The sequence below is a fragment of the Homo sapiens genome, chromosome 3 (genome assembly GCF_000001405.40).
Source record: "Homo sapiens chromosome 3, GRCh38.p14 Primary Assembly".
Lineage (NCBI taxonomy): Eukaryota > Metazoa > Chordata > Mammalia > Primates > Hominidae > Homo > Homo sapiens.
In genome coordinates this window covers 5,107,654-5,122,594 of record NC_000003.12, presented here as the reverse complement: position 1 = coordinate 5,122,594, position 14,941 = coordinate 5,107,654, and the positions used below count along the sequence as shown (strand labels likewise).

General features: G+C 48.1%; 1 protein-coding gene across 1 annotated transcript in view, besides 1 other annotated feature; it reads right to left on the bottom strand.

The window, feature by feature from the left end:
• The window catches only part of ARL8B (ARF like GTPase 8B), a 58,620-nt gene extending 58,317 nt beyond the window's left edge, over positions 1-303 (bottom strand). The window contains exon 1 of the mRNA NM_018184.3: positions 7-303. Within this exon, the coding sequence (NP_060654.1) occupies positions 7-129 (123 nt within the window). The 5' untranslated portion in view covers positions 130-303. The remainder of the gene's footprint in view (positions 1-6) is intronic.
• Positions 238-497: a silencer, noted in NCBI's record as "silent region_14023". NCBI's record gives its function as "represses an Ori minimal core promoter by ATAC-STARR-seq in GM12878 lymphoblastoid cells {active_cell/tissue: GM12878}" and the evidence as "EXISTENCE:reporter gene assay evidence [ECO:0000049][PMID:35858748]".

Sequence of the window (14,941 nt, the reverse complement as noted above, 5' to 3'; positions counted from 1 at the left end):
GCTCACCGCGATGACATTGACGAAGGTGGTCTTGCCCGAGTACTGCAGCCCCACGAGCGTCAGCTCCATCTCTTCCTTCCAGAAGAGCGAACGGAACCAGTCCAGCAGGCGGGAGATGAGCGCCAGCATGATGGCGGCCGGGAGCGAGAACGGACGGGAGGACGGACGAGCGGCGGCGTCGACGACTTCCACACGAGCGGGCCTCCGCCCGGACCCTCCAACGGCTCCTTGGTGCCCCGGCGCGACACGGGCGGACACCGGCGGGCGGCAGCAGCCAGACCCAGGAAGCCGAGCGGATCATATGACTCGCCCTACCCCCCACGCCCGTCCCGGCGCCGCCGTCGGCACCCACGGCAAGAGCGGCGCGGCCAATCCGGCCAGGCCCGCCCGCCGCTGGCATCGCCACCTGGTGGGCATGCTCCGCAGCACAGCGTACCCTCGGGCCCCCTTGAGGCTTTCTCTACATTCATTCATTGTTGGTTCATTCGTCATTCATCCACTTATACATTCGTTAATTCATTCATTCATTTTTTGCTATAATTGTTCATTAACAATCTGCAGGAAGACTTCAAGACTCTGGAAGAGTTGGCGTGGAATAAAAATTCCTGTCCTACATTTTTGGTAGTAGCAAAAGATAGTGTTAACTTAAAAATGACACCGTTTATAAATTTAGAAAGGAGAGCATTATTTCTTAAGAAGGGGATTATAAGCTGTAGGCAGGACGTGCAGCCTCGGGCCAAAAAAAACAAAAGTAAGCACTTTGAGAGAGGGAAGGGTGCAACAAGAATTTATATTGAGGAGTTGGCCAAGTAAACATATTTAACTTATGGAAGGAGCTATTAATATGTATGAAGGTGGTCTTACACACATAGTGAACAAATCTGTATGTTGCATATGACCTATGTTCATTTGGGGTGGCGACTTAACATTTAAATGTATTATAATCAGGCAGGGCGCGGTGGCTCATGCCTGTAATCCCAGCACTTTGGGAGGCAAAGGTGGGCAGATCACCTGAGGTCAGGAGTTTGAGACCAGCCTGACCAACATGGTGAAGCCCCATCTCTACTAAAAATACAAAATTAGCCGAACGTGGTGGCATGCACCTGTAGCCTCAGCTGCTTGGGAAGCCGAGGTGGGAGAATTGTGTGAACCCAGGAGGCGAAGGTTGCAGTGAGCTGAGATCATGCCACTGCACTTCAGCCTGGGTGATAGAGTGAGACCCTCGTCTCAAAAAACAACAATTAAAAAATAAATAAAGTAAAAGTATTATAATCAGGCCCTCCACATCAGAAAGTGAATCAGGGACGGGAAAGGTATTGAAGTGCTTGGCCTCTGTAAAACCAGCCAGAACTGGGCTGGGCGCGGTGGCTCACAGCCTGTAATCCAAACACTTTGAGAGGCTGAGGCAGGTGGATCAGGAGGTCAGGAGTTTGAGACCAGCCTGGCCAACAAGGTGAAACCCCGTCTCTACTAAAGATACAAAAAATTAGCCCAGGCCGGGTGCAGTGGCTCATGCCTGTAATCCCAGCACTTTGGGAGGTCAAGGCGGGCAGATCACCTCAGGTTGGGAGTTCAAGACCAGCCCGACCAACATGGTGAAACCCCGTCTCTACTAAAAATACAAAAATTAGCGGGACATGGTGGCACGCGCCTGTAATCCCAGCTATGCTGGAGGCTGAGGCAGGAGAATCGCTTGACTCCGGGAGGCAGAGGTTGCAGTGACCGAGGTCATGCCACTGCACGCCAGCCTGGGTGACAGAGCGAGACTTCATCTCAAAAAAAAAAAAAAGAAAGAAAGAAAAGAAAAAGCCAGCCAGAACCAATGCATGGATGCATGGTTAGTTGTCTCTTAACAGGAGAAAGTTACAGAAATCAGTCTCTTGTCTAATCAAAGCCATAGTTAGGCTTGTGGAACAGGTCAGTTAGCCTGCATCTGGCAGAGAGTTGTAACTGTTTTAATTGTGTTTATCTCCAGGCCAGTGCTGGTTTAGCTGGTAGAGAAAAAGAGAAACCTTGCACTTAGTCATTTAACTCTTGCCTAGTATGGCCTTAGGTCCTGTTTATAATTTGGTATCTAATTGTCACAAAGAGTCTGTTCTGTCAGTCTTGTGATCTCTATTTTAACGTTAATGTTGGTCGTTTGTTGTTTCTTTCTTTTTTTTTTTTTTTTTTTTGAGACGGAGTCTCGCTCTGTCGCCCAGGCTGGAGTGCAGTGATGCGATCTCGGCTCACTGCAAGCTCCGCCTCCCGGGTTCACACCATTCTCCTGCCTCAGCCTCCCGAGTAGTTGGGACTACAGGCGTCCGCCACCACGCCCGGCTAATTTTTTGTATTTTTAGTAGAGACGGGGTTTCACCCTGCTAGCCAGGATGGTCTCGATCTCCTGACCTCGTGATCCGCTCGCCTACGGCCTCCCAAAGTGCTGGGATTACAGGCTTGAGCCACCGCGCCCGGCCGGTCGTTTGTTGTTTCTAAACGACATAAGGGAGGAGGTATAACCAGGTGTGACTGACTTCCCATCTTGTGGAGGGAAGGAACTCAGTTTTTAAGACTTTCCTAGGATAGGCCGGGCGCGGTGGCTCACGCCTGTAATCCCAGCACTTTGGGAGGCCGAGGTGGGCGGATCACAAGGTCAGGAGATCGAGACCATCCTGGCTAACACGGTGAAACCCCATCTGTACTAAAAATACATAAAATTAGCCGGGCACGGTGGCGGGCGCCTGTAGTCCCAGCTACTCGGGAGGCTGAGGCAGGAGAATGGCGGGAACCCGGGAGGCAGAGCTTGCAGTGAGCCGAGATGGCGCCACCGCACTCCAGCCTGGGCGACAGCGAGACTCCGTCTCAAGAAAAAAAAAAAAGATTTTCCTAGGATCTCTTTGTCCAGGAAGGATCTGTTTAGTCAGTTGAGGGGACTTAGTTTGTTTGTTTATTTGATTTTGAGACAGAGTCGAGCACAGTTGCCCAGGCTGGAGTGCAATGGCAGATCATAGCTCATTGCAGCCTTGAATTCTTGGGCTGAAGTGATCCTCCTGCTTCAGTCTCTCAAAGTATTGGGATTACAGGCGTGAGCCACCATGCCCACACCCAGCCCAGGAATTTTTTTTTTTTTTTTGAGACAAGTCTCGCTCTGTTGCCAGGCTGGAGTGCAGTGGTGCAATCTCGGCTCACCGCAACCTCTGCCTCCCGGGTTCAAGCAACTCTCCTCCCTCAGCCTCCCGAGTAGTTGGGACTACAGGCGAGCCACCAAGCCCAGCTAATTTTTGTATTTTTAGTAGAGATGGGGTTTCACCATGTTGGCCAGGATGGTCTCGATCTCTTGACCTCATTATCCACCCACCTTAGCCTCCCAAAGTACTGGGATTACAGGCGTGACCCACCGGGTCCAGCCCAGGATTTTATTTTTAGTTTACAATGGGAAGCAATTAGTGTCTATCAATAGGGAACTGATTAACCAGGATGTGTCCCCAAAAAGGAATACTATGCAGCTGTAAAAAAAAATACAAGAAGAAGAAAGTTATCTGTCAACTGATAAGGAATGATGATCAGGAAATATTTTCAAGAAACAAAAAAAAATCAAGGTTCATGGCTGTGTACGGTGGCTCATACCTGTAGTCCCAGGACTTTGGGGGGGGGGGGGGCAGATCACTTGAGGCCGGGAGTTCGAGACCAGCCTAACCAACATGGCAAAACCCCATCTCTACTAAAATTACAAAAATTAGCCAAGCGTGATGGTGCATGCCTGTAATCCCACCTACTCATGAGGCTGAGGCAGGAGAATCCCTTGAACCCAAGAAGCAGAGGTTGCAATGAGCTGAGATTGCACCACTGCATTCCAGCCTGGGTGACAGATTAAGACTGTCTCAAGGCTGGGCGAGGTGGCTCATGCCTGTAATCCCAGCACTTTGGGAGGCTGAGGCGGGTGGATCACGAGGACAGGAGATCGAGACCATCCTGGCTAACATGGTGAAAACCCATCTCTACTAAAAATACAAAAAATTAGCCGGGAGTGGTGGCGGACGCCTGTAGTCCCAGCTACTTGGGAGGCTGAGGCAGGAGAATGGCATGAACCCGAGAGGCAGAGCTTGCAGTGAGCTGGGATCATGCCACTGCACCCCAGCCTGGGCAACAGAGCAAGACTCCCTCTCCCAGAAAAAAAAGACTGTCTCAAAAAAACAAAAAAACCAGGGTTCAGACTGTGTACGTAATGATATTTGGAATGTAAGGTGAGAAAATAATAACACATATGCTTATACATATATATACATATATAAGCATATGCTTATACATATATATACATATATAAGCATATGCTTATACATATATATACATATATAAGCATATGCTTATACATATATATACATATATAAGCATATGTGTATGGTATCTGCATAAAGAAATACTGGGAAACTAATAAAAATGGTTTCCTATGGGGGTAGGAAAAACTGGATGTCCGGTGGCAGAAATGGAAATGAGACTTGTCTAGATAACTTTTAGACCACTTTGACTTTTCTCTTTTTCTTTTATTTATTTATTTATCCTATTTTATTTTACTGTTTTTTTTTTTTTTTTGGAGACAGAGTCTCATTCTGTTGCCCAGACTGGAGTGCAGTGGTACAATCTCAGCTCACTGCAACATCCACCTCCCAGGTTCAAGTGATTCTCTTGCCTCAGCCTCCCAGGTAGCTGGGATTACAGGCGTGTGCCACCACATCTGGCTAATTTTTTTGTATTTTTATTAGAGATGGGGTTTCACCATGTTGGCCAGTCTGGTCTCCAACTCCTGACCTCAAGTGATCCACCCACCTGGGCCTCCCAAAGTGCTGGGAATACAGGCGTGAGCCACTGTGCCCAGCCTATCTTAGTTATTCTACAACATACCCCTAGAGGCAAACTTTGACTTTTCAAACATGTAAATGGGTTGTCTGTTCAAAATACAATTTACTTTTTGTTTTTTTGAGATAGAATCTTGCTCTGTCGCCCAGGCTGGAGTGCAGTGGTGCGATCTCAGCTCACTGCAACCTCTGCCTCCCAGGTTCAAGTGATTCTCCTGCCTGAGCCCACTGAGTAGCTGGAAGTATAGGCACATGCCACCACACCCAGCTAATTTTTGTATTTTTAGTAGAGATGGGGTTTCACCATGTTGGCCAGGCTGGTCTCGAACTCCTGGCCTCAAGTGATCTGCCTGCCTCGGCCTCCCAAAGTGCTGGGATTACAGGCATGAGCCACCATGCCTGGCCACAATATAATTTACTTTAACAGTAATTAAAAATATCTTCAAGGCTTTAAAATTTAAAAAAAATTCCTTCCCTCATGGAGCCTACAATCCAGTGGGGGAGACATATGCTATAATAAACAAATTAAGAAATGAGGCCTGGTGGCTCACTCCTATAATCCCAGCCCTTTGGGAGGCTGAGGCAGGGAGATCACCTGAGCCCAGGAGTTCAAGACCAGCCTGGACAAGATAATGAGACCCTGTCTCTACAAAAAAATTTAAAAACTTAGCCAGGCGTGCTGCGCATGCCTGTAGTCCCAGCTTCTTGGGAAGCTGAGGCAGGAGGATCACCTGAGCCAAGGGATCAGAGGCTTCAGTGAGCCATGATTGTGCTCCAGCCTGGGTAACAAAGTGAGGCCCTGTCTCAAAAAAATAAAATAAACAAATAAATCTGAGACATAATAGCATGTAGTACTGAACATTATAAAGAAAGCTGAACAAGAGAAGGAACAGGAGAGGACTCTGTTCTACTTCAGGTCAGGTGGCCCTGGGTGAGAAGACTTAGAGGAAGTGAGAAAGAGATCCAGGCAGACATCTGGTGGAAGCACATTCCAGGCAGAAGGAACAGCAAACACCCAGTTTGGGAGAAGGAGTTCAGAATGCTCTGGGCAGAGAAAGACAGTCGGCGTGGCTGGCACAGATTAGTAAAGCAGGGAGTTGGAACAGATGTGGATGGAGAAGGAGGAAGGGAGCAGATTGAAAGTTGGCATGGTGGGCCTACCTTGGATTTTACTCTCAGTGTGATGGGAAGCCAGGAGAGTGATCCAAATGATATTTTTAGTTCGTTTTTCTGTGTCTATTGATTATTTAAAAAGAAAAAAGAAGCAGCAGCAGCTCACTATGGCACAACTGTGGCAAATTGACTGTAAGGGGGTTTTAGGGGTTGAATTGTGCCCCCTCCCTCCTTAAAAAAAAGACATATTGAAGGCCGGATGTGGTAGCTCATGCCTGTAATCCTTGCAGGATTTGGGAGACCGAGGTGGGAGATTGCTTGCACTCAAGAGTTCAAGACCAGTCAGGGCAACAAAGTGAGACCCTGTCTCTAATTAAAAAATACAAAGGGAAGGGAAGGGGAAGGGGAAGGGGAAGAGGAAGGCGAGGGAGAGGAGGAGGGGGAGGGGGAGGGAGAGGGGAAAGACGGGTGTGTGGTGGCTCATGTCTATAATCCCAGCACTTTGGGAGGCCAAGGCAAGTGGATCACCAGAGGTCAGGAGAGAGAGGGAGAGGGAGAGGGAAAGGGAGAGAAAGAGAGAGGGAAGGAGGGAGGGAGGGAGGAAGGAAGGAAGGAAGGAAGGAAGGAAGGAAGGAAGGAAGGAAGGAAGGAAAAGAAAGAGAGAAAGGCAGAAGGGGAGGGGAGGGAAGGGGAGATATTAAAGTCGTAACTCCCAGTACTTCAGCATGTGACCTTGTTTGAAACAGGGTCACTACAGATGTAATTGGTTAAGATGAGATCATACTGGAATAGGGTGTGTCCTCCATCCACTATGATTGGCATCCTTTTAAGAAGAGGAGAAGAAATACCGACACATGACACACGAGAGAGAATACCATGGATGACCGAGGCAGAGATTGAGTTGTTACAGCTGCAAGTCAGAGAACAACGAGGATTGCCAGCAAACCACCAGAAGCCAGAAGAGGAGAGGAAGGATTTTCCCCAAGAGCTTCAGAAAGAGCATGGCTCTGGGGCACTGTGATTTTAGACTTCTAACCCTCAGAACTGAGAGACAATAAGTTTCTGTGGTTTTAAAGCACCCAATTAGTGGTACTTCATTACAGCAGCCCTCGCAAACAGATACAAAGGGGTAAAGAGTTTTTTGGTTCTTTTTGTTTTGTTTTGTTTTTGTTTTTGTGACAGGGTCTTGCTCTGTCACCCCATGCTGGAGTGCAGTGGTATCATCACAGCTCACTGCAGCCTTGACCTCCTGGGCCCATGTCATCCTCCCCTCTCAGCCTCCTGAGTAGCCGGGACCACAGGTGTGCACCACCACACCCAGCTAATTTCTTAATTTTGTGTAGGGAGAGCTTCTTGGTATGTTGCCCAGGCTTCTAATTCTTTATGATTTTTTTTTTTTTTTGAGACAAAGTCTCACTCTGTCACCCAGGCTGGAGTGCAGTGGTAGGATCTCAGCTCACTGCAACTCCTGCCTCCAGGGTTCAGGCAATTCTTGTGCCTCAGCCTCCTGAGTACCTGGGATTACAGGCACCCGCCACCACGCCCAGCTAATTTTTGTATTTTTAGTAGAGACGGGGTTTCACCACGTTGGCCAGGCTGGTCTTGAACTCCTGACCTCATGATCTGCCTGCATTGGCCTCCCAAAGTACTGGGATTATAGACGTGAGCCACCGCGCCTGGGCCTTGTTTCTTTATGATTTTGTTTAAAGACTGGGTCTATATTAGGCTATATTGCCTAAACTGCACTAAAACTCCTGGACTTAAGGGATTCTCCTACCTAAGTCTCCCAGGTTACTGGGACCTACCACCATGCCCAGGGAGAGTCTCTTATTTACAAAAATGAGAACATGTAAGCATTACTCAATAGCTCCCTTTATTCACTTAACGTACAGTTAAATACATTTTATTAAAAATAAAGGCAGGCCCTCTCCCCTCTCCCCTCTCCCCTCTCCCCTCTCCGCTCTCCACTCTCCCCTCTCCCCTCTCTCCTCTCTCCTCCCCTTTCCACGGTCTCCCTCTCATGCCGAGCCAAAGCTGGACTGTGCTGCTGCCATCTCGGCTCACTGCAACCTCCCTGCCTGATTCTCCTGCCTCAGCCTGCCGAGTGCCTGCGATTGCAGGCGCGCGCCGCCACGCCTGACTGGTTTTCGTATTTTTTTGGTGGAGACGGGGGTTTCGCTGTGTTGGCCGGGCTGGTCTCCAGCTCCTAACCGCGAGTGATCCGCCAGCCTCGGCCTCCCGAGGTGCCGGGATTGCAGACGGAGTCTGGTTCACTCAGTGCTCAATGGTGCCCAGGCTGGAGTGCAGTGGCGTGATCTCCACTCGCTACAACCTCCATCTCCCAGCCGCCTGCCTTGGCCTCCCAAAGTGCGGAGATTGCAGCCTCTGCCCGGCCGCCACCCCGTCTGGGAAGTGAGGAGCGTCTCTGCCTGGCCGCCCATCGTCTGGGATGTGAGGAGCCCCTCTGCCTGGCTGCCCAGTCTGGAAAGTGAGGAGCGTCTCTGCCCGGCCGCCATCCCGTCTAGGAATTGAGGAGCGCCTCTTCCCAGCCCCATCACATCTAGGAAGTTAGGAGCGTCTCTGCCCGGCCGCCGTCCCACCTGGGAAGTGAGGAGCGCCTCTTCCCGGCCACCATCCTATCTAGGAATTGAGGAGCGTCTCTGCCCGGCCGCCCATCGTCTGAGATGTGGGGAGCGCCTCTGCCCCGCCGCCCCGTCTGGGAGGTGAGGAACACCTCGGCCCGGCCGCAGCCCCGTCTGGGAGGTGAGGAGCGTCTCTGCCCGGCCGCCCCGTCTGAGAAGTGAGGAGACCCTCCGCCCGGCAGCCGCCCTGTCCGGGAGGTGAGGGGCGCCTCTGCCCGGCCGCCCCTACTGGGAAGTGAGGAGCCCCTCTGCCTGGACACCACCCAGTCTGGGAGGAGGTACCCAACAGCTCATTGAGAACGGGCCATGATGACAATGGCGGTTTTGTGGAATAGAAAAGGGGGCAAGGTGGGGAAAAGATTGAGAAATCGGATGGTTGCTGTGTCTGTGTAGAAAGTAGTAGACATGGGAGACTTTTCATTTTGTTCTGTACTAAGAAAAATTCTTCTGCCTTGGGATCCTGTTGATCTATGACCTTACCCCCAACCCTGTGCTCTCTAAAACATGTGCTGTGTCCACTCAGGGTTAAATGGATTAAGGGCGGTGCAAGATGTGCTTTGTTAAACAGATGCTTGAAGGCAGCATGCTCCTTAAGAGTCATCACCACTCCCCAATCTCAAGTACCCAGGGACACAAACACTCTGCCTAGGAAAACCAGAGACCTTTGTTCACTTGTTTGTCTGCTGACCTTCCCTCCACTATTGTCCTATGACCCTGCCAAATCCCCCTCTGCGAGAAACACCCAAGAATGATCAATAAAAAAAAATAAATAAATAAAATAAAAAAAATTTAAAAAAAAATAAAAATAAAGGCAGGTCAGGCACAGTGGCTCACACCTGTATTCCCAGCACTTTGGAAGGTGGAGGCAGGCGGATCACCCGAGGTCAGGAGTTCGAGATTAGCCTGGACAACATGGCGAAATCCCATCTCTACTAAAAGTACAAAAATTAGCTGGGCATAGGGGCCGGCGCATGTAATTCCAGCTACTCAGGAGGCTGAGGCAGGAGAATCGCTTGAACCCAGGAGGCAGAGGTTGCAGTGAGCCAAGACCACTGCCATTGCACTCCAGTTTGGGTGACGAGAGCAAAGCTCTGTCTCAAAAAATAATAATAATAATAAATAAAAATAGGCTGGGCGCGGTGGCTCACGCTTGTAATCCCAGCACTTTGGGAGGCCGAGGTGAGCAGATCACCTAAGGTCAGGAGTTGGAGACCAGCCTGGCCAATATGGTAAAACCCCATCTCTACTAAAAATACAAAAATTAGCGGGGTGTGGCGGTGGGTGCCTGCAAACCCAGCTACTCAGGAGGCTGAGGCAGGAGAATTGCTTGACCCCAGGAGGCGGAGGTTGCAGTGAGCCGAGATCATGCCACTGCATTCCAACCTGAGTGACAGAGCAAGACTCTGTCTCAAAAAATAAATAGATAAATAAAAATAAAATAAAAAATAAAAATAAAGGCAGCCAGGAGCAGTGGCTCACGCCTGTAATCCCAGCACTTTGGGAGGCCAAGTCGGGAGGATTGCTTGAGCCAGGAGTTCAAGACCAGCCTGGGCAACATAGGGAGACCAGTCTCTAAAATAAATAAGTATATACAGGCAATAAATACTAAAAACTCATCATTTCCTAGTTATTTTGCTGTAGCTTGCTATTATCTATGTTCCTGTAGCTATTTATGGGTAGTGCATCTGTATAATGGAAATGTCATGTAATGGAGAGCTACTGAACATCTCAACTCTGTGTTCACTGATGTCACATTGGTAGCTTGAAATTGGCCACAGTGGAAATATTTACACCACAGAAATTGGCAAACACTACAAATCAGTATTTCCTGTCCCCTAGAGAGTTGATTGTTAGATATTTACCACCCCACTACTGATAATACCTAACGTACTGTTAGAATGAGGAGTAAATAAAATAAAATTATAATTCCAGCCATGCCAGCGGTTTTTTAAAAATTACATTAAATAAAGCAATAAAAAGCAGGATGATAAAGTTATCCTGAATATGGTCTACATAGTTAAAATGACTGATTTTCATACCAGCTTTTCCTTTCTTTCTTCTTCTTCTTTTTTTTTTCTTTTTTGAGACAGAGTCTTGCTCCTCTTTCCTGGCTGGAGTTCAGTGGCATGATCTCAGCTCACTACAACCTCTGCCTCCCTGGTTCAAGCAATTCTCGTGCCTCAGTGTCCAAAGTAGCTGGGACTACAGAGGCACGTGCCACCATGTCTGGCTAATTTTTTGTATTTTTAGTAGAGACCGGGTTTTGCTATTTTGGCCAGGCTGGTCTTGAACTCCTGGCCTCGAGTAATCCCCCTGCCTCAGCATCCCAAAGTGCTGGGATTACAGTCATGAGCCACTGCACCCGGCCTTCTACCAGCTTTTCTACCTAGCAGCTGTATGAACTGTGCAAGTTGCTTAACCTCTCTGTGCCTCCATTTACTATAAAGGGAGAAAACGTTGTTATCTGCCTCATAGGATTATTGTGAAGAGTAAATGAATGAGTTCATATCAAGCTCTTAGAACATAGCCTAGCACAGTCCGGGCTTGGTGGCTCATGCCTGTAATCTCAGCACTTTCGGAGGCCCAGGTGGGTGGATCACTTGAGGTCAGTAGTTCAAGACCCCCCTGGCCAACATGGTGAAACCTCATCTCTACTAAAAATACAAAAATTAATAGCTGGGCATGGTGGCACATACCTGTAGTCCTAGCTACCTTGGGAGACTAAGGCAGAAGAATCGCTTGAACCTGGGAGGTTGAGGTTGCAGTGGGCCAACAGTGCACCACTGCACTCCAGACTGGGCTACAGTGAGACTCCATCTTTTTTTTTTTTTTTTTTTTCAGGGTGAGTCTCACTCTATTGTCCAGGCTGGAGTGCAGTGGTGCAATGTTGGCTCACTGCAACCTCAACCTCCCAGGTTCAAGCGATTCTCCTGCCTCAGCCTCCCGAGTAGCTGGGATTACTGGTGCCCACCCCCATGTCTGGCTAATTTTTGTATTTTTGGTAGAGACAGGGTTTCGTCATGTTGGCCAGGCTGGTCTCGAACTCCTGACCTCAAGTAATCCACCCGCCTCAGCCTCCCAAAGTGCTGGGATTACAGGTGTGAGCCACTGTTCTCGGCCAAGACTCTATCTAAACAAACAAACAACAACAACAAAAAAAAAACAGCCTAGCACAGCGTTAATATTCTCTAAATCCTAGTCATTATTTCTGGAACATAGTGACTTAGGACATATGATCAACAATTCAGGGGCTTAGTTTCTCATCTGTAAAATATGGGTAAGGTTACCACCCTTATCTGATGTTTTAGCTGAGGAAGTATTTTCTGCTGAAGTCGCTGGAATAGTGTACAAAGTCATGTGGGTGGCTATTCCCTTTGAACTTTGCCTAGATTTAAGTTACAGGAATGGGAACTGAGGATCATGTGCTGAGACACACGGACCCATTGATGCATCCTTTATAGGGTCAGGAATCCCAGAGCCCTGGGAATGTAGATGGGGAAGGACAAGGGTGAGAGATAAGATTGACTCATGTATTTGCTTTGTGTCTGTTATGTAAGAAAGGTAGAATTCTGTGGCATCACAGCTGAATGACTCCAAGACCATTCTAGTTTTACTTAGTGAAAAGCTGAGGCACAGAGAAGGGATATGTTACAGTTAGAGATGCGAGTTTAAGTCATAATCTTTATTTATTTATTTATTTAGCGACAGAGTCTCGCTCTGTCACCCAGGCTGGAGTGCAGTGGCACGATCTTGGCTCGCTGCAACCTCCACCTCCCAGATTCAAGCGATTCTCCTGCCTCAGCCTCCCAAGTAGCTGGGATTACAGGCGCGTGCCACCACACCCAGCTAATTTTTTGTGTTTTTAGTAGAGACAGGGTTTCACCGTGTCAGCCAGGATGGTCTCAATCTCCTGACCTCGTGATCCACCCACCTCGGCCTCCCAAAGTGCTGGGATTACAGGTGTGAGCCACCACACCCAGCTAAGTCATAATCTTCTTAAGGACAGTAACCATTTCTACTTAAATTACTAAAATCATTTTAAATGAGTGAGCCAGCCTGGGGTACCTGAAATCTCATCTCTCAGGCATTTGTTTTATTATTACCTTTGCATTTGTCTAAGGTGATCATTGTTTTGGCTCCAAAGAATGAAATAAATGTGACACATTGCATAGGTTCTCACTGGCCTGATTACCAACCTAGTAGCATCTGAAACTGACAGCACCTGAGCCTTATCTACAGGACATTTCTGCTTTGGGCCAAGTCGATTAGAGAGCCAGAGTTTTTCATTAGCTGTGGATGTCACTACAGGTGCTCCCCAAAATCTGCAAGGAGCAGAATGTCAGTTCCATCTTTTAAAGGAAGAGTTTTGGCCTTCAGGAAAAGGGAAGCAAGACTCAATTAGGACATTCTCTTTAGAAGGAACATTCATCATTCTTTCTTTCTTTTTTATTTTGAGACAGAGTCTCACTCACCCAGACTGGAGTGCAGTGGTGCGATCTCAGCTCACTGCAACCTCCACCTCCCGGGTTCAAGTGATTCACATGCCTCAGCCTCCCAAGTAGCTAGGATTATGAGACACACACCACCAGTCCCAGATAATTTTTGTATTTTTAGTAGAGACATGTTAGTCAGGCTGGTCTTGAACTCCTGGCCTCAAGTGATCTGCCCACCTTGGCCTCCCAAAGTGCTGGGATTACAGGCATGAGAAACTGTGCCCGGCCCATTATTTTATTTTTATTTATTTTATTTTGCTTTTCAGAAACAGGATCTTGCTCTGTTGCCCAGGCTTGAGTGCAGTGGTATAATCACAGCTTACTGCAACCTCAAACCCCTGGGCTCAAGTGATCCCAGGCATGAGTCACGAGGCCCCGCCTCTTCTTCATTATTTAAAAATTGAGCTAGTCACCCCCATTTTAAGAACAACCAATCATATGAGAATTCCATAGGTGGAAAACAGATACTCAGTGCAAAGTAGAGTGGTGTGAAGAGTCCTGTGCAGGAAATAAAAAGACCACACTGCTGGAAGAAAAGCCGTGTCTTGAATTAAAGAGTTCTCAGGTTGGGTGCAATGATTCACGCCTGTAATCCCAGCACTTTTGGAGGCTGAGGTGGGTGGATCACCTGAGGTCAGGGGGTCAGGAGTTTGAGACCAGCCTGGCCAACATGGTGAAACCCCGTCTCTCCAAAAAAACAAAACTTAACCAGGCATGGTGGCATGCGCCTGTAATCCCAGCTACTCAAGAGGCTGAGGCAGGAGAATCGCTTGTGCTCAGGACGCAGAGTTTGCAGTGAGCCAGGATCGCACCACTGCACTCCAGCCTGGGTGACAGGGCAAGACTTTGTCTCAAAAAAAATTCTTGGCTTTGAAAACTAAATGGCTGTGTGACTTTCAGCAAGTCACTTCCTTTCTCTGGGCTTCAGTTTATTTATGAACTGAAGAGTTTGGATAAGATAAAATTAAAGAACCTTTTATCTCTAAAACCTTCCCATTTCATAGCAACCTGACTGAAATGAGATAAGAGGAAGGGATTCCTGCATGGTAGAGATAAGAATTCTCTCTTTATAATAGCCATTATAGGCTGGGCATGGTGGCTCATGCCTGTAATTCTAGTACTTTGGGGGCTGAGGCGGATGGATTACCTGAGGTCAGGAGTTCAAGATCAGCCTGGCCAACATGTCAAAACTCCATTTCTACCAAAAATACAAAAATTAGCTTGGTGTTGTGGCATGTGCATATAATCCCAGCTATTCAAGAGGCTAAAAAAAAAAAAAAAAAAAAACAGGAGAATCTCTTGAACCCAGAAGGAGGCTGCAGTGAGCCGAGATTGTGCCACTGCACTTCAGCCTGGGTGACAGAGAAAGACCCTGTCTCAAAAAATAAAAATAAAAAATAAATACCCTGTGTAAGTCGGGCATGGTGGTTCACGCCTGTAATACCAGCACTTTGGGAGGCTGAGGTGTGCAGATCACCTGAGGTCAGGAGTTCAAGATCAGCTTGGGCAACATGGTGAAACCCCGTCTCTACTAAAAATATAAAAATTAGCCAGGCATGGTGGCACATGCCTATAATCCCAGCTACTCGGGAGGCTGAGGCAGGAGAATTGCTTGAACCTGGGAGGCAGAAGTTGCAGCGAGCCAAGATCGTGCCACCGCACTCCAGCCTGGGTGAGAGAGTGAGACTCAATCTCAAAAAAAAAAAAAAAAAAAAAAAAATTAGCTGGGCATGTGTTGATGAATGCCTGTAATCCCAGCTACTCAGGAGGCTGAGGCAGGAGAATCGCTTGAAGCCAGGAGGCAGAGGTTACTAGGAGCCAAGATTGTGTCACTGCACTCCAGCCTGGGCAACAGAGTGAG